General features: G+C 35.3%; 2 annotated features.

Moving 5' to 3' along the window:
* Positions 13075-13739: an enhancer, noted in NCBI's record as "NANOG-H3K27ac-H3K4me1 hESC enhancer chr6:95583098-95583762 (GRCh37/hg19 assembly coordinates)". NCBI's record gives its function as "activates a minimal SCP1, AML or CMV promoter by ChIP-STARR-seq in naive and primed H9 embryonic stem cells {active_cell/tissue: H9 hESC(naive and primed)}" and the evidence as "EXISTENCE:reporter gene assay evidence [ECO:0000049][PMID:30033119]".
* Positions 13740-14403: an enhancer, noted in NCBI's record as "NANOG-H3K27ac-H3K4me1 hESC enhancer chr6:95583763-95584426 (GRCh37/hg19 assembly coordinates)". NCBI's record gives its function as "activates a minimal SCP1, AML or CMV promoter by ChIP-STARR-seq in primed H9 embryonic stem cells {active_cell/tissue: H9 hESC(primed)}" and the evidence as "EXISTENCE:reporter gene assay evidence [ECO:0000049][PMID:30033119]".

The raw sequence follows: 20034 nt of genomic DNA on the forward strand, positions 1-20034 counted from the left end.
TCCAATATTTCTCGACTTCATCCAATATTCAGACAAGGAAAAGGAAAGGGTCTCTCTTCTTGAAAAGCACCAACACTCTGTAAATGGTAAGGAAAGGAGAGAAAATGCACAGCATTCAGACAACTCCATGCAAAGAATTTCTCACTCTTGAGGTTTCTCTACTTGTTTCCCCCTCATAGGACTTTAAATTATGCTTAGAAGCAAAGTGCAGTTTTTTCAGTTCCCTCTTAATACATTTTGCACAAATGAGACCTTGGCAACTTTTCCTAGAATGTATAATAAATTGACAACCTTTGTTTCAGACCCAGGCCTCAGCCAAGTTTGAGACAACTAAAAAAGGTTCATTTAGCATCTAGGTACAGAATAATTAGTCATAATAATAAATTCTTGCTCATTTTTTATCATACCCAACTTGAGAAGCTTTAAGTTTATGAGAGTGATGTATTCCCAACCCAAGTATAAAACAACAACAACATAAATGTGTCCTAAAATGAGAGTAGACTGCATTGTAAGGAATAAGAATGTTATAATTTAAATTGATACAAATTCAATTTGTTATAAACATGTTAAGATGTTACATGTTATCCACGGTGATTTGACAAAGGTAGGAAGATCATTGTAGGCCATTTAAAAGCACAGGAATCAAAGAATTGCATGCTTCCCCAAAGACTAAGTAAAAATGGATAATTGACTAATATAGTTGTAAATAATTTTAAACGTTTTCCAATTATAAAATGCATTCAAGTTATAAAAGTTCTAAAATATATAGAAACAGAAAGTGATTGTATCAGAGAAAATCATTTTAATATATGTAGTTCCATATTCACAAACATATTTTTATAAAGTATAATGTTTTATAAAGTTACTTTTTACATGGGGTTAGTTACACTATTCATGGACTTGAAAATCTATTTTTTAATATATGTGTTTAGTTTCAATATTTTCCTGTGTTGTTAGATCTTTTTTCGTATTAATTTTTATTTATTATAGGAATTTTTTAAAAATACACAAAAAGAGAGAGATTGGTACATTAAACTCACGCGTGTCTGGTATCTAGCCTATACAATTAGTTACAACATTTGTATAGGCTTGTTTCATTTGTTGTCTTCCCAATATTTGTTGGTTATTAGTGTGGTTTTTTCTGAGTACTATAAACTAAATATTAAATATATATTATTTCATCTATAAATGCTTCAGTATGCATTTGTAATAGCAAGGACTTTTTAAAAATATTACTCCAATAACATAAGCACACAAAACCAAATTAACAATAATCTCCTAATGTTATTTGTTACTTCAACAGTGATCTCAAACATGTACTTTTATGATAGGATTGTTCAAATGAAGATCTGGAAAGGTTGACCAAGAATTTGATTGATGTTTCTTAAGTCACTTTTAGTCTTTTAGAAGTTTATACTTCTATACTTTTTTATACCATTTATTTGTAAAAAACATAAATTGGTCTTTGGGGCATAGAATTTTTCACAATCTAGATTTAGCTGATTGGATCCTTATGGTGTCATTTAGCAAGCACCTCTCCTTGCTGTATTTCCTGTAAACTAATATTTTTATCCAAATGTTTGATTAGTCAATATTTTTTATAGGCAAAACTATATCTCAGGTAATGTGTTCTTCCCACTGAATCATATGAAATGAAAACAATGTTTGACTTATCTATAGTTGCATTGCTTGCATTTGTTGCCCAGTATTTATAAGGTTGTAGCAAGTTTTCCATTCCTTTTTAAATATAATCCTTTATCATTGATATTTGGAATCTAGATCATACTTCATGGAATTCGATAATTTATAGTATAAACATTTTCTAAAAATAATTTCCTCATTAAACTATGAACAGATGACCAAACTTAAGATAGAGTCTGTAGGGCTTTCTTTCGTTTAGAAATTTATCTACTCCTAGTCACACTCAATTTAAGATACAGAAAAGTCTAGGATCCAGCTCCAATCTCTTTGAAGTAGAGTGAGTGTGGGTGGAATAACATAACTTGGGAGTGACTCAAGGTATTGACATTTATTATTGTTCATCCAAACTTTGAAACAATTGTGTGGATATACATATTACAGGGAGCTGTAATAGAGTGCTATAGACACACATCATATAAATACAATCCCTACATTTATAAATGCATGGTTATAAAAGATGTTGGAGAGTTTCCTTTCCTACATAAATATTATACTACATTCTACAATTATTGCTATTTGGAACTTTCTTCTTTAGATAGAATGATCAAGAGAAAAGGTCATTGGTATCTTTGTGATATCTGTCCCTTAGTGGCTAAGAAAACTTCATAATCTTAAGGTGCAATGTTAGAGATTATGGTGTACTAGGCCTGAACTGGAGAAAAATAACTGCTTCATGTTCTAAATGCATATTTAAGCGAATACTTTCTATGGGATGCCACTGTTTTTTTTTTTCCAGTAGATGACAAAATAGCTCAGCAAGAAGTGACATTTTTGTAAAACAAATGTAAATGACTCTGTGTTTTGGTCATGGATCCTTACTGACTTGTGTGCTTCCAAGACTAACACATTTTCTTAATCTTTCCTTGTGTTCTGCTTCTCTTAATCTCTCTGTACTCTGCTTTTCTCTGAAAAGCAGCTTTATGCTTCCTCAGTCAGTTAGGAAACATGACCTCTGACAGCTTTCAAGCAGCTTTACCATAAGAGAAAGGCTGACTGATTAAAATGTAAAATCTCACCAAAATTATAAGAAAAAAAAGGAAGGGCTGTAAAAAACAAGAACTACTTAGGCATAATTCTGGCAAAATATGTGCAAGATCTATATTCTCAAAACTACAAAACATGGATGAAGAAATTCAAAACCTTAAATCACTAGAAAAGTATACTATGTATGTAGATGTGAAGATAACAACATTGTTATGATATTGTTTCTCTTATATTGATTGATTTGAGTGAAAATCTCAGCAATAATCTTTCTAGATAATAAGCTGATTTTTAAAATACATTGAAAGACAAAGAAACCAGAATATTTTAAACCTTTCTGACAAAGAACAAAGTTGAAAAATCCACACTACCTGATTTCAATAATTAATATAAAATTACTGTAATCCCAGCAGTGTGATGTTGGTGAAAGGAGGAGCACATTAAATAAATGGAATGTAAGTTAGTTCAGAATAGACACACAGAAATGCACTCATTTGAGCTTTGCAAAAATAAACAAAGCCAATTTAATAGAAAAAAACCTTTTTCAACAAATGGTGCTTGAAAAATTGAACACTATATAAAAAATCAATCTCAAACCACACCTCATACTTTATTCACAAATACCTCAAAATGGGTTATACACTTGAATCTAAAGTGTAAATTGATAAAAATAGTAAAAGAAAACATAGAAAAAAATCTTTGTAACCCTGGATTAAACAATTTTTTCTTTAAATGCAATACTAAAAGCACAATCTATAAGATGACAAATAGGCTTTAATTAAAATTAAAAACTTCTGTAAAAGTTCCTCTGATCAGTTGAAAAGATAAGCTGCACACAGGGAGAAAATGTGTGCAAATTATATATCCCACAAAAAAACTTGTATGCAGGCTACATAAGGAACTCTCTAAACTCAACAGTAAGAAAGCAACCTAATTTAAAAACGGACAAAAGATTTAAACAGATACTTCAGCAAAGAAGATATACAGGCCGGGCGCGGTGGCTCACGCCTGTAATCCCAGCACTTTGGGAGGCCGAGGCGGGCGGATCACGAGGTCAGGAGATCGAGACCATCCCGGCTAAAACGGTGAAACCCCGTCTCTACTAAAAAATACAAAAAATTAGCCGGGCGTGGTGGCGGGCGCCTGTAGTCCCAGCTACTTGGGAGGCTGAGGCAGGAGAATGGCATGAACCTGGGAGGCGGAGCTTGCAGTGAGCCGAGATCCCGCCACTGCACTCCAGCCTGGGCGACAGAGCGAGACTCCGTCTCAAAAAAAAAAAAAAAAAAAAAAAAAAAAAAAAGAAGATATACAGATAGTAAATAAGTAGCTGAAAAGATACTCCAACTCATCAGTCATTAGGGAAATGCAAATTAAAGTCACAATGAGGTACCACTACTTCCATATTAAAATAGCTTAAACCTAACAAACTGACAATACCAAATATTGCTGTATTACCAGTTAAGTCTCAGATACACTTTTTTCTTCATTATCTAATCTGAAATCAGTCTCAATTTTCACATCCATAAAATGTGGCTGCTAATTAATGCTTGTCCTCACTTGCTTATTGTGCTGTTGTGAAAAACAAAAGCAATTATGTAGAAAACATTTTGTAAAATACAAAGTAATTTACTAACATAATGAAAAATTATTATTGTGGAATTTCAGTGAAGATTTGAGAAAAGGTTCAAAATGCAAATGCTTAAAGCAGCATAATAAATTTTTAGATTAAGTATATTGGTAACTTATTTTTAGGCAAAATTATTGAGAAAATCATAAAAAGCATCATTATGAATTAATTATTACAATGATACAAATTTATTTTTAGGCAGATTTATTGAGAAGACCATAAAAAGCATCATTATGAATTATTACAATGATACAAATTCTAGTAATTGCTTTGTGGTCATATAATTATTGGCCCAAAGTATCAAGAAAAGTTGCTAACCAAAACTAATGACACAAATATTCACGTTGAAGGCACACACTACCTCTATTGTAATATTTAAGGCAAACCGTCATATTAATGAATTATTTCAGTGTCTGCCTTCAAAATGGACTTAATTATAATGAAAATGTTTATTCTGCAAATATTTTCCTTTTTTCTTTGCATCTGTATCTGATCACTCACTATAGAGTACACTGATAATGCATTGAGCTATAATGCTCTACAAAGAAAAGATAAAAAGAAATAAAATAACTCCCAATCTAAAGAAAAAAATTAAAATGTCAACAGTCACTTGGTGACAGTTTTAAATGAATCTTTAAAAGAAGCTTATTTTGGAAAGCCTTCTGGTCACCCCCAATTACTATGGTTGCCTTGGTTGTGACAGCTGGTGTATAATCTTTGATTACACTGTCATTAAAATGTCTTTTATACCTTTTTTAATGCCATCAACACACCATTTGCTTTTCAAATCACACCCTAAAGTGGGTGGATCATGGGCATTGAGGTATCTATGAAGTTTCTAAGCCTTTTTCACACTTTTAGGAGCTCGTAAATTCAGACACAATATGGGAATCTGATGCTGCTCCAGCTCTCATACACTAAATTTATCCTAGATTTTTTTTAACTTCTACTAACACTTTTGATCTTTCTCTCCTACCCTTTATTTCAACAGAAAAAAATATTCATTTCATTAAAGTTCATCAATGTACCTTGTTGAGAATTTTAATAATGAAGTCAGGACTGAGGTGCAGTCCCCAAGCACATCAATTATAGCTTCACGGGGGTAAAACCCCACATTGTTTCATAGCCTTAGACTCCTTTTTTAACCCAGTCAATCAGCTTGAAAATTTGCACCATGAGGTAAAGGAGCATGTAGATTCATCTCTATGGAGAGAATACTTAATGAAGGATCAGAAGTTCTTTTTTAATTATTTTTTTCTCATACTGATCACGTGGTTTCAGAAATAAATTCAGATAAGCTCACTGAGCCCAATTTCTTTGAACATATGATGGGAGAAATAATTACTCTTTTTACTTTTTGGAGTAGTTTTGGTCATTAAAAAAAAATACGGTGCTTGAGGACAAGTTACAACCCAGAAAGTACTGTAATGTAATACAGATGCTCCTCAACTTATGATGGAATCATGTCAAAATAAATCCATTAAAAGTTGAACAAGTATTTAACACCCCTAAACTATCAAACATCATAGCTTAACCTAGCCTAAATTTAATATACTCCAAATACTACATTAGTCTATAGTTGAACAAAATTATCTGGCAACACAGTACACTGTAGATTACCAGTAATTTATCCTTGTGATCAAGTGGCTGACTGGGAGCTGCCCAGCATGGCAGGGGAGTATCATATGACTGTCTACTGAATGCATATCACTATCACACCACCCTAAAGTCAAAAAATTCTAAATGGAATCATCATCAGTTGGGGAACGTCTGTACATTGTTGATGGTAGTGGTACTTCTACAGGTAAATCTATCAGAACAACGATCACCATGACTGGTCATATGATCTGAGAAATATTTCTTTAGGACATTTCATCACTGTACAACATCATACATCATAGACCATATCAGCACAGATTAAATGGTATAGCCTACACCTAGGCAATATGGTGTAGCCTAATGCTCCTAGGCTACAAATCTGCGCAGCGTGTTGCCATACAGAATATTGTAGGCAGCCTGCCATGGTGGCTCACTCCTGTAATACCAGCACTTTGGGAGGCCGAAGTGGGTGGATCACCTTAGGTCAGGAGTTCGAGACCAGCCTGGCCAACATGGTGAAACACTGTCTCTACTAAAAATATAAAAACTAGCCAGACATCGCGGTGGGTGCCTGTAATCCCAGCTACACTTGGGAGGCTGAGGCAGGAGAATTGCTTGAACCTAGGAGACGGACGTTGCAGTGAGCTGATACGGTGTCACTGCACTCCAGCCTCAGTGAAAGAGTGAGACTCTGCCTCAAAAAAAAAAAAAAAGTAGGCAATTGTAACACAATGGTAAGTATTTATAAACATAAACTATCTATGCATAGGAATGATACAGTAAAAATGAAGTATAAAGATAAAAGCAAGGTATACCTGAGCCATGTTTTAGAGCACTTACCAGAAATGAAGCTTGCAGGGCTGGATGTAGCTCTGGGTAGTCAGTGAGTGAGTGGTGAGTGAATATGAAGGCTTGTGACATTAAGTACTCTACTGTAGGCTTTATTAACACTACATACTTGGGCTACACTAAAGTCATAAAAAAGTTTACTTTTTTCAATAATAAATTAATCTTAGCTTATTGTAAATAGTTTTGCTTATAAACTTTTGATTTTTTAACTCTTTAACTCTTGTAGTAACAGCTTAAAACACAAACACATTTTATAGCTGCACAAAAGCATTTTTTCTCTATATCCTTATCCTATACACTTTTACAATATTTTTAAATGTTTTATTTTTTCCTTTTTTGACGTTTTTGTTAACAACAAACATACACACACACTAGTCTAGGCCTACATAAAGTCAGAAACATCAATATCACTGTCTTCCACCACCTCATGTTCTACTGGAAGGCCTCGAGGGACAATAACAAGTATGGAGCTATCATCTTCTGTGATAATGAAATCTTCTTCTGGAATACCTCTGGAACGACCTGACTACGGCTGTTTTACAGTTAATTTTTTTTAGTGAGTACAAGAAGTGCACTCTAAAATAATGATAAAAGTATAGTATGGTAAACAAACCAGTAACATAGTTGACTATTATGATTACCATGTATTGTATATAATTAATTGTATGTATTACACCTTTATAAAACTGGCAGAACCGTAGGTTTGTTTACACCAGAATCACCACAAACATGAGAGTAATGTGTTTCAATGTGATGTCATAATGGCTATATTGTCACTAGTCAATAACATTTTTCAGCCCCATTTATCTTACAGGACCACCTTTGTATATGTGATCTGTCATTGACCAAAACACTGTTACGCAGCACATTACTCTACTTTATAGGAATCGTCAGTTTACTAGATTATCTACTCCATTTCTTAATTTAAACTCGGTGGCCTACTTTTCTGCGATTTCTAGTCTCCTTTTGAGAATGGGAAACTTTCCAATCATCAAGTGCTTATTGCTTTTAAGTTATATCCTTGTCAATATCTCTGCTATTTCACACTGTATTTTCTCCACACCTCATCATAGAGCACTCAACCAGTTCCAGTGATTTACTGCTGGTGAATTTCTAAAGCTGCATTACGAATTTCTTCATAGAGCCTTCACTGTCTGTTAAATCCACACTTATTTTCCATAAAAATCTCATTTGGAATTGGAATTTTCTCGATATTACATATAGTAAAGTCTCATGTAAAATACTGAAATTTTGTACTAGTTCTCTTTTTTACATATTAGATATTGAGAGGCCTGTCAATATGAATGCACCTTTCTCTTAAGAATATATTGGTTCTGAGATAAGTTCTCTTCCTCAACGCTATTCTGAATAATGAAAAAGCTATGAATTGTTCCTAATAAAATGATATGATTTTCTGGTAATAATTATGTTAAAAATAATCCTAGAAAAATTTGAATTCTGGAAATCTTGTCATCTACAATTAATTTAATTTTAAATTTATAAAAGATTCTGAACTAGACATTGTAATAAACATAATAAATTAAAATTGCACTTGCTTTCAAGCAGCTTGTTCTCTTACTACTAAAATAATTTAAGTATGCATATTACTACTAACCAATATCAGAGAAAAGACTAAACACTAAAGAAGACTAAATGGGACACACTGAGAGTCCTAACTGAAATTCGGGACTGGAGCAAACCACTGACATTTTCCTAGTTTCCAAGAGAAGAGTGTCCTCAATGTTGTAATATCTAAATGTTAAGAAATAAGTGTTATAGAGTGGCCAATACTTAGCTAAATTTAATACTCTTCTAAACAGCACTGTGTTATACAGTTCTCTTATTGATTGAAGCCAAGATAATTCTAACTTAAGAAATAGATTTGTGTAGGCTTGAGAGGGACTTTTAAAAAACATAAATCTTAACAGGTGGGAGTGAGATTGTTTCAAACTGAACCAAGTAGCATTTGCAAAACCAGCATTTCTCTGATGGCCAGTGATGATGAGCATTTTTTCATGTGTCTTTCGGCTGCATAAATGTCTTCTTTTGAGAAGTGTCTGTTCATATCCTTTGCTCACTTTTTGATGGGGTTGTTTGTTTTTTCTTGTAAATTTGTTTGAGTTCATTATAGATTCTGGATATTAGCCCTTTGTCAGATGAGTAGATTGCAAACATTTTCTCCCATTCTGTAGGTTGCCTGTTCACTCTGATGGTAGTTTCTTTGCTGTGCAGAAGCTCTTTAGTTTAATTAGATCCCATTTGTCAATTTTGGCTTTTGTTGCCATTGCTTTCGGTGTTTTAGACATGAAGTCTTTTCCCATGCCTATGTCCTGAATGGTATTGCCTAGGTTTTCTTCTAGGGTTTTTATGGTTTTAGGTCTAACGTTTAAGTCTTTAATCAATCTTGAATTAATTTTTGTATAAGGTGTAAGGAAGGGATCCAGTTTCAGCTTTCTATATATGGCTAGCCAGTTTTCCCAGCACCATTTATTAAATAGGGAATCCTTTCCCCATTGCTTGTTTTTGTCAGGTTTGTCAAAGATCAGATAGTTGTAGATATGCGGCATTATTTCTGAGGGCTCTGTTATGTTCCATTGATCTATATCTCTGTTTTGGTTACTGTAGCCTTGTAGTATAGTGTGAAGTCAGGTAGCGTGATGCCTCCAGCTTTGTTCTTTTGGCTTAGGATTGACTTGGCGATGCGGGCTCTTTTTTGGTTCTATATGAACTTTAAAGTAGTTTTTTCCAATTCTGTGAAGAAAGTCATCGGTGGCTTGATGGGGATGGCATTGAATCTATAAATTACCTTGGGCAGTATGGCCATTTTCACGATATTGATTCTTCCTACCCATGAGCATAGAATGTTCCTCCATTTGTTTGTATCCTCTTTTATTTCCTTGAGCAGTGGTTTGTAGTTCTCTTTGAAGAGGTCCTTCACATCCCTTTTAAGTTGGATTCCCATATATTTTATTCTCTTTGAAGCAATTGTGAATGGCAGTTCACTCATGATTTGGCTCTCTGTTTGTCTGTTATTGGTGTATAAGAATGCTTGTGATTTTTGTACATTGATTTTTTATCCTGAGACTTTGCTGAAGTTGCTTATCAGCTTACGGAGATTTTGGGCTGAGACAATGGGGTTTTCTAGATATACAATCATGTCATCTGCAAACAGGGACAATTTGACTTCCTCTTTTCCTAATTGAATACCCTTTATTTCCTTCTCCTACCTAATTGCCCTGGCCAGAACTTCCAACACTATATTGAATAGGAGTGGTGAGAGAGGGCATCCCTTTCTTGTGCCAGTTTTCAAAGGGAATGCTTCCAGTTTTTGCCCACTCAGTATGATATTGGCTGTGGGTTTGTCATAGATAGCTCTTGTTATTTTGAGATACGTCCCATCAATACCTAATTTATTGAGAGTTTTTAGCATGAAGGTTGTTGAATTTTGTCAAAGGCCTTTTCTGCATCTATTGAGATAATCGTGGTTTTTGTCGTTGGTTCTGTTTATATGCTGGATTACATTTATTGATTTGCGAATGTTGAACCAGCCTTGCATCCCAGGGATGAAGCCCACTTGATCATGGTGGATAAGCTTTTTGATGTGCAGCTGGACTCAGTTTGCCAGTATTTTATTGAGGATTTTTGCCTCAATGTTCATCAGGGATATTGGTCTAAAATTCTCTTTTTTGGTTTTGTCTCTGCCCGGCTTTGGTATCAGGATGATGCTGGCCTCATAAAATGAGTTAGGGAGGATTCCTTCTTTTTCTATTGATTGGAATAGTTGCAGAAGGAATAGTACCAGTTCCTCCTTGTACCTCTGGTAGAATTCGGCTGTGAATCCATCTGGTCCTGGACTTTTTTTGGTTGGTAAGCTATTGATTATTGCCTCAATTTCAAAGCCTGTTATTGGTCTATTCAGAGATTCAACTTCTTCCTGGCTTAGTCTTGGAAGGATGTATGTGTCCAGGAATTTATCCATTTCTTCTAGATTTTCTAGTTTATTTGCATAGAGGTGTTTGTAGTATTCTCTGATGGTAGTTTGTATTTCTGTGGGATCAGTGGTGATATCCCCTTTATCATTTTTTATTGTGTCTATTTGATTCTTCTCTCTTTTCTTCTTTATTAGTCTTGCTAGCAGTCTATCAATTTTGTTGATCTTTTCAAAAAACCAGCTCCTGGATTCATTAATTTTTTGAAGGTTTTTTTGTGTCTCTATTTCCTTCAGTTCTGCTCTGATTTTAGTTATTTCTTGCCTTCTGCTAGCTTTTGAATGTGTTTGCTCTTGCTTTTCTAGTTCTTTTAATTGTGATGTTAGGGTGTCAATTTTGGATCTTTCCTGCTTTCCCTTGTGGGCATTTAGTGCTATAAATTTCCCTCTGCACACTGCTTTGAATGTGTCCCAGAGACTCTGGTATGTTGTGTCTTTGTTCTCGTTGGTTTCAAAGAACATCTTTATTTCTGCCTTCATTTCGTTATGTACCCAGTGGTCATTCAGGAGCAGGTTGTTCAGTTTCCATGTAGTTGATCGGTTTTGGATGAGATTCTTAATCCTGAGTTCTAGTTTGATTGCACTGTGGTCTGAGAGACAGTTTGTTATAATTTCTGTTCTTTTACATTTGCTGTGGAGTGCTTTACTTCCAACTATGTGGTCAATTTTGGAATAGGTGTCATGTGGTGCTGAAAAGAATGTATATTCTGTGGATTTGGGGTGGAGAGTTCTGTAGATGTCTATTAGGTCTGCTTGGTGCAGAGCTGAGTTCAATTCCTGGGTATCCTTGTTAACTTTCTGTCTCATTGATCTGTCTAATGTTGACAGTGGGGTGTTAAAGTCTCCCATTATTATTGTGTGGGAGTCTAAGTCTCTTTGTAGGTCACTAAGGACTTGCTTTATGAATCTGGGTGCTCCTGTATTGGGTGCATATATATTTAGGACAGTTAGCTCTTCTTGTTGAATTGATCCATTTACTATTATGTAATGACCTTCTTTGTCTCTTTTGATCTTTGTTGGTTTAAAGTCTGTTTCATCAGAGACTAGGATTGCAACCCCTGCCTTTTTTTGTTTTCCATTTGCTTGGTAGATCTTCCTCCATCCCTTTATTTTGAGCCTATGTGTGTCTCTGCATGTGAGATGGGTTTCCTGAATACAGCACACTGATGGGTCTTGACTCTTTATCCAATTTGCCAGTCTGTGTCTTTTAATTGCAGCATTTAGCCCATTTACATTTAAAGGTAATATTGTTATGTGTGAATTTGATCCTGTCATTATGATGTTAGCTAGTTATTTTTCTCGTTAGTTGATGCAGTTTCTTCCTAGTCTTGATGGTCTACATTTTGGCATGATTTTGCAGTGGCTGGTACTGGTCGTTCCTTTCTATGTTTAGTGCTTCCTTCAGGAGCCCTTTTAGGGGAGGCCTGGTGGTGACAAAATCTCTCAGCATTTGCTTGTCTGTAAAGCATTTTATTTCTCCTTCACTTATGAAGCTTAGTTTGGCTGGATATGAAATTCTGGGTTGTAAATTCTTTTCTTTAAGAATGTTGAATGTTGGCCCCCACTCTCTTCTGGCTTGCAGAGTTTCTGCTGAGAGATCCGCTGTTAGTCTGATTGACTTCCCTTTGTGGGTAACCCGACCTTTCTCTCTGGCTGCCCTTAACATTTTTTCCTTCATTTCAACTTTGGTGAATCTGACAATTATGTGTCTTGGAGTTGCTCTTCTCGAGGAGTATCTTTGTGGCATTCTCTGTATATCCTGAATCTGAATGTTAGCCTGCCTTGCTAGATTGGGGAAGTTCTCCTGGATAATATCCTGCAGAGTGTTTTCCAACTTGGTTCCATTCTCCCTGTCACTTTCAGGTACACCAATGAGACGTAGATTTGGTCTTTTCACATAGTCCCATATTTCTTGGAGGCTTTGTTCATTCCTTTTTATTCTTTTTTCTCTAAACTTTCCTTCTTGCTTCATTTTATTCATTTCGTCTTCCATCACTGATACCCTTTCTTCCAGTTGATCACATCAGCTCCTGAGGCTTCTGCATTCTTCACGTAGTTCTGGAGCCTTGGCTTTCGGCTCCGTCAGCTCCTTTAAGGACTTCTCTGCATTGGTTATTCTAGTTATCCATTTGTCTAATTTTTTTTCAAGGTTTCTAACTTCTTTGCCATTGGTTTGAATTTCCTCCTATAGCTCGGAGTTGTTTGATCTTCTGAAGCCTTCTTCTCTCAACTCGTCAAAGTCATTCTCCATCCAGCTTTGTTCCGTTGCTGGTGAGGAGCTGTGTTCCTTCGGAGGAGGAGAGGTGATCTGCTTTTTATAGTTTCTAGTTTTTCTGCTCTGTTTTTTCCCCATCTTTGTGGTTTTACCTACTTTTGGTTTTTGATTATGGTGATGTACAGATGGGTTTTGGTGTGGATGTCCTTTCTGTTTGTTAGTTTTCCTTCTAACAGACAGGACCCTCAGCTGCAGGTCTGTTGGAGTTTGCTAGAGGTCCACTCCAGACGCTTTTTGCCTGGGTGTCAGCAGCAGTGACTGCAGAACAGTGGTGGCTGTAGAATCTCGGATTTTGGTGACCCACAAGTGCTGCTGCCTGATAGTTCCTCTGGAAGTTTTGTCTCAGAGGAGTACCCGGCCGTGTGAGTTGTCATTCTGCCCCTACTGGGGGGTGCCTCCCAGTTAGGCTGCTCGGGGGTCAGGGACCCACTTGAGGAGGCAGTCTGCCCATTCTCAGATCTCCAGCTGCATGCTGGGAGAACCACTACTCGCTTTAAAGCTGTCAGGCAGGGACATTTAAGTCTGCAGAGGTTACTGCTGTCTTTTTGTTTGTCTGTGCCCTGCCCCCAGAGGTGGAGCCTATAGAGGCAGGCAGGCCTCCTTGAGCTGTGGTGGGCTCCACCCAGTTCTAGCTTCCCAGCTGCTTTGTTTACCTAATCAAGCCTGGGCAATGGCAGGCGCCCTTCCCCCAGCCTGGCTGCTGCCTTGCAGTTTGATCTCAGACTGCTGTGCTAGCAATCAGTGAGACTCCGTAGGGGTAGGACCCTCCGAGCCATGTGTGGAATATAATCACCTGGTGTGCCGTTTTTTAAGCACCTTGGAAAAGCGCCCTATTATGGTGGGAGTGACCTGATTTTCCAGGTGTCTGTCACCCCTTTCTTTGACTAGGAAAGGGAACTCCCTGAACCCTTGCACTTCCCAAGTGAGGCAATGCCTCACCCTGCTTTGGCTGGCGCAAGGTACACTGCACCCACTGTCCTGCACCCACTGTCTGGCACTCCCTAGTGAGATGAACCCGGTACCTCAGATGGAAATGCAGAAATCACCCATCTTCTGTGTCGCTCATGCTGGGAGCTGTAGACAGGAGCTGTTCCTATTCAGCCATCTTGGCTCCACCCAAGTCTTTTTTTAAAGGCATTGCATCTCTAAAATCTAAACTATACTTCACTCATAGGTTGATACAAAAAATTTATGTGTAAAGTGTAAGTCTTCGTTCACTTAAAAAAAACATGTTAATAAAAATGTCCCTGACTTCACCTACATAATTAATAATATACGATATTAGCCCTTAGTAGATATGATGGTTTGGTTTTGAAAACACATTTCTCCCAGAATCAGCTCAACACTTCTTGATCATCAACAATGTTCTTGACCATGTATGAAATGATATGTGAACACAGGCTTTTTTTCTTCAGAATAATCATGCTCCAATTTTGCCTAATGGTTCTCATCATATTACTCAAAGCTACTGAACCACTTTCTTCATCTAAACTACCTAATGCATTAGTAAGATAGCAAGAAAATGAGCTGAGCATGCAGCGAATAATGAACTTGGACCTAAAGATGGAATAAATATTTTAGCATATAAGCATATTGCTGTAAAGCCTTTGATTAAGAGATAATTCTTAATAAATGTCCCAGGTCCCCAAATGTCATAAACAGCATCTATACATGTTGGTATCCACATTTTTACATCCCTTTATTCTTAAATCATTCATCTATAGATTCCTTCAACATTATTTTTTTGAAACCCTGTATTACCAAATTAAAAATTACTCCCTGGTCCTCGTTTCAATATAGTCTGTACAATTATGTTTACTCTGGGGATTGTGACAATAGTATTTACTTCCTACCTACTAAAACACCCTCCTTTATGATTCTGTGATAACTCATAATATTGCAGCCACTCACATTTAGGCTCCTCAGCAGGCTCCTTTTTCCTTTGCACTTCTTTAAATGATGAAGTGCCCCAGTTTGGGTTCTTCACCCTTTAATCACTTCATGCACACTCTTTTTGTGATCTTGTTCCCACTTAAGGCTTTCCTGTTCACCTGCATGATTATGACTATTGCAAACTTCCCCATGAACCCAGATCCACAGATCCAGCTGTAGACCATGTATTGTTGTCCAGCCACCCAGCTGCCCAGAGGCATCCTAAGCCCAATATGCCCACATCAGAGCTCATTAATCTTTGAATTGCTGCAACAAACTCCCTGCCAAAATCAATATCTCATAAGGAATAAATAATTTGATGTTTTTGAGTTCTCTGTTGTATTATAAGCCAAATGTAGGAAAAATATATTTTAAAAAGTTTATTTTAGCATGTGTCAATATTTTCTTTTTTTTAAATTTTACTATTATTACACTTTAAGTTTTAGGGTACATGTGCACAATGTGCAGGTTTGTTACATATGTATACATGGGCCATGTTGGTGTGCTACAGCCATTACCTCGTCATTTAACATTAGGTATATCTCCTAATGCTATCCCTCCCCACTCCCCCGACAACAGTCCCCGGAGTGTGATGTGTCAATATTTTCTTATTCTTTTTCTGTGTCCCCTGACTTTCCTCCAGGCCATATGTGGCTCCCTAGTGGTGTAAATTTCGTATTAAAGTACATGTATGTATATGTGTATGTATTCATCTAGATTGCCAAATCATCCTGAGATTTTGTGACAGCATGTCACTGAGAAAAAATATTAAATTCTCATACACTATGTTCCAAGTGGGCTCAGATATTGATGAGAGATGACCAGTAGGCTTCTAAGCTCAAGAGAGACCCAACTGGTATAGTATTGCCTTTACCTACAGGAGACAGTAGGGTAGAGAAGGTGACAGTTTTGAGAACATTCTAGGTAAGGGCTGTTTTCTCTTGGAAAGCTTGATGTGGACATCAGTGTCTTACCTGGAGGGAATATACTTTTATACAGTATAAACCTGGTCCCTGGTCCTGCTCTGGAGATTTCTAAAGCCAGCAAGTATACAGAAATATCCCATATGATTTAGGGCGTAAATGGATCAAAGTTCAGTGTGATTAGGAGTGAGAAGGTATAATTTCCCCCTTCCCAGTTCACTCTTAGAGGTTGGAAATAGGCCTAGACATTCTCCTTGCCTTTATGTTGTGTAGCATGACAGTTAGGGGAACGGTTGGTGTCACAGTTGAGCTAAGGAAGCATGTCAGTCAAACAATCTCATTGACAACTCCCATGAGATACTAAGGGAACTAAGAGGACATAGTTGAGCCTTGTAAGGCCCCCCAACACAAACGAAATTTGCTGAAGCTCAGAATGCCCATGAGAAATACCAATACTTCCATTCTAAGTTACTCTATGCCCTCATCAACGTACTTATTCTATGCTTGTAGAATGCTTTAGATAAACTGATTAGCTAATAAATATTTCAAAATAAAGCATATAAACAGAATTTCCACCAATAAAAATTTTTATTATATAAGGAATACAGGAATTTAAGATGCTGTGACTGGAGATAGGAAATTAAACTGATTCTTTTATTTAGCATTGATTTTGTGGCAAGCAATACACTCAGCATCTTACATGTAATAAATTGTTTAACTCTATAAAATAAATATTACTATTGCAATTTATTAGATGAGAAAGTGATTCTCAGATTGCTGAACTAATTTGTCCAAGATCTCACAAAAACTTATTGGCCAGAAACAAACCTATGTGTGTCTTTCTAAGCAATTGAAATGCTTTTGTCATGATATGCTTCAGCAAGAAGAACATTTTCATCACAGGACCTTTTTATGCATCACATTGTGGGTTTTCTTATCCACCAATTTAGAAAATTGCCATTACTTTTAAGACCTATTCTCATGACATCTTAGTATTCCTGGATTAGAAATGCATATATTTTAAGGATTTTTATATTTTGATTATGTGCTATTTTAACAAGTTTTTAAATATATACATTCTCAATATATGTGCCTCTACTTATTTATAAGTTATATGTAATAATAATTTAACACTAGCTAAACAAGCCATATAATGTTGTATTTACTTTATAAGTTAATACTTTATAAGTATTAACTCATTTAATCATTGCATTATCCATGAAGCAATTACAGGTACTATTACCATTCTTACTTTAAAAATAAGGCACAGAAAAGTAACTTTGCCAAACTGCCTTACTTAGTAAGGGATGGAGGGAGGATTTAGACCTAAGTGGTCAGGCTCTAGGGGAATATCTTTGACCACTTTAAAGCAGTATTTCCTCTATGTATTTTTCTATGATAATTTTGTATAAATATTATAAAATGTGTAAAAAATAGAAAATTAAAAATAATAAAATATAAATATGAAAACACCTTTGTTACATGTTATAAACTTGAATGGATCATCTTATACACCCCCTTTGGAAAATACTGGTTTATTTTCTAAATAATTGATTTCATCTTGACTTTACTAACAGTGATGCTATCTTCAGATATATTTTGGGAAGAGGATTTTATTCTTTTACAAAACAAGCAAGAGAAGAATAGGAGTTTTATTCCCTCAAAAGGTTTTGTTGACTAGACCCCAAAGATCATCTTTGGAATAAGAAAGAAGAGAACATATGGAAATCAGTAGCAAACTATCAAAAGAATGATATCATGGAAGCAGTAAGCAGAGTTTAGAAAACATCTGTGTTTTTATCTGATATGTCTATATAATAAACATGTTTTTTAGGAGATAGTTGGGTGTGCGGGAGTGATTATATCTTCATTGTCTCACTGATTAGAAAAAGTATCCTCACCTTCTGAAGAAACGTTTTACCATTAGAAACAGAAACTTAAAAAAGAAAAAGGACTACTTAAATATTTGTCTATGTTAAATGCAACAAGCCATAGCATCATATATCCAGAAAGGATTGTTTCATTTAGTTTAATGAAATTCATACCCAAATATATATTTTTGTATAATAAACTACTGGATTCCTGCTATTTGTCCAATTTTTATTTTTGGCAAAACATGAGTTTTAGCTTCATTGTGCATTTCCCTGTGAGTTTTCCCAGCCACAAGTAGACAGGTAATTCATATGTCTCAGTGGGAGTGTTTTGGAGCATGTTTCATGTGCAATTTCAGAGAAAAGGAGGCAAATGAGATAAGCAGGAGAGATCCCAGGAGCTAACTCTTCCTAGGCAGAAGCTCCATTTAAAAGGCATAAAATTATAATAAAAATTAAAAGTGCACCAAGTGCATAGAAGCAATGTTTGTGGTTAGAGTAAAAGAAAATCAATTTAATCAATCTTTTTCATAAGAATTATATTATTTATTATAGAAACGACAGTGAATCATTTTGGTGGTGGAATTGAGCTAGTAGGCAAATGTCAACATGGAATTGCCAATTTAAATCATCAACCTCGGTTCCAATATCCTTCATCCTGAAAACAGTTTAAACCAAAGTAATAAACAAACAGAAGGGAGACTATTCAGTTATAAATACTTTGACTCAGCAGATTAAGAATACTTAAAATCTACCCTCCAAAGATGTAGAATATGTGTTTTCCTACTCTTCAAAAAATCACTTTTATGCAGTTTTGTTTGTTTATAATCATATCACAATTTCTAAACATAAGAGTTACTCTGAAGAGGGCCATCCTGTAAAATTTGTGCATTTTCCAGATTTTTATAAAATAACTTGAAATTTAAATCTACTCAGCATATTTTCAAATATACCTAAGCACACAAGGCTTAACATAAAATTATATTTTCCGTGGAAAGGCTCAGAAGTCACTATCTCCCAGAAAAGAAATATATACTAAGAAGAAGTGTAATTATTAACAAGTGAATATTTTAAATTTAATATATATTATGGTGAATAGTGTGAATCTAGTCTTCAAGAAAACTTAGAATCTACCCTATTCAATTAAATATATCTCCATGTTAACTACTCCCATAGCCAAACTAAACTAAATATATTCCCATTGTGTCAGTAAATGCTACATTTTGTCAGAGAAAAAATAATACTAAAATCATATTATGATCTTCTGTCAAGCCAAGACCCCAACACTTACATTTTTTTTTATATTTTGAATTGAGAGTTACAATATTTCTATTTAATTCAGAAGGATAAGCTCTAGAAACTCTCCTATCACACAAAATATTTCGTTCTCCCAGTTGTAGATAGCATATAAACAAGAAAATATGAATTAGAACTTGATCCGGTCTTTAGCCTTATGAAAGCTAAAGGCAATATTTTATATAAAAATGTTTTTACTCAGAATTTTCATGGAATAATTATAATATTTATAATATTTTAAAAAACATAAAGCAACCCTAAATGTGGGAAATGTATATATAAAACATAATCTAAATATTTCTTAGGACCTACTACATAGAAGGCTTTGAGGAGAGTTTCAACGTTTGGATCCTCTCCACAAAAGAATTCACATTTGCTTTGATTCTGTGTTTCATATATAATTTTCCAAATGCTATTTGCATATTGACACATTCAAAGTTGAAAACTCTTAATTGGATTATTTTAAGGAGTACAAGGTCAATTCCCAATGCTATGACATTACATTATAAATGCCTTAGTGCAAAAAATCTTCCTTCTTGTGTTTCCTTTTTGTGCTTCGAACTGTCACATATACCTTTGAATTTACTATCTTCTTCTTACAGAAATCTAATGCATTATTAATATAAAAATCCAACAGAAGACAAGCTCCATTTAGGTTACAAATATTTATCACATGTTTAATAAGTGCAAGGCAATATTTAACAGCACTAGAATCATTTAGTCATGGCATGATGCCTTATTAAGTAACCTTTATGTACTCCTAGTTCAATAAATATTGGTTGCAAACATACATTTGTTTATTTTCTAGAGCATAGCCACTCTTACCTAGCAAATGTTCTGTACTTTGGAAATACAGAGAAACTATGTTTTCTGCCCTCAGTCTAAACAGATTTTTTCTAATTGCTTCCAAATGTAACCTAGTTTTGGCTCTTCAAATGCCTCATTTTTGTTTTAATCTAATTACTTGAATTTTAAATGCAGCAGTTTTACCC

Source organism: Homo sapiens, chromosome 6, assembly GCF_000001405.40.
Source record: "Homo sapiens chromosome 6, GRCh38.p14 Primary Assembly".
Lineage (NCBI taxonomy): Eukaryota > Metazoa > Chordata > Mammalia > Primates > Hominidae > Homo > Homo sapiens.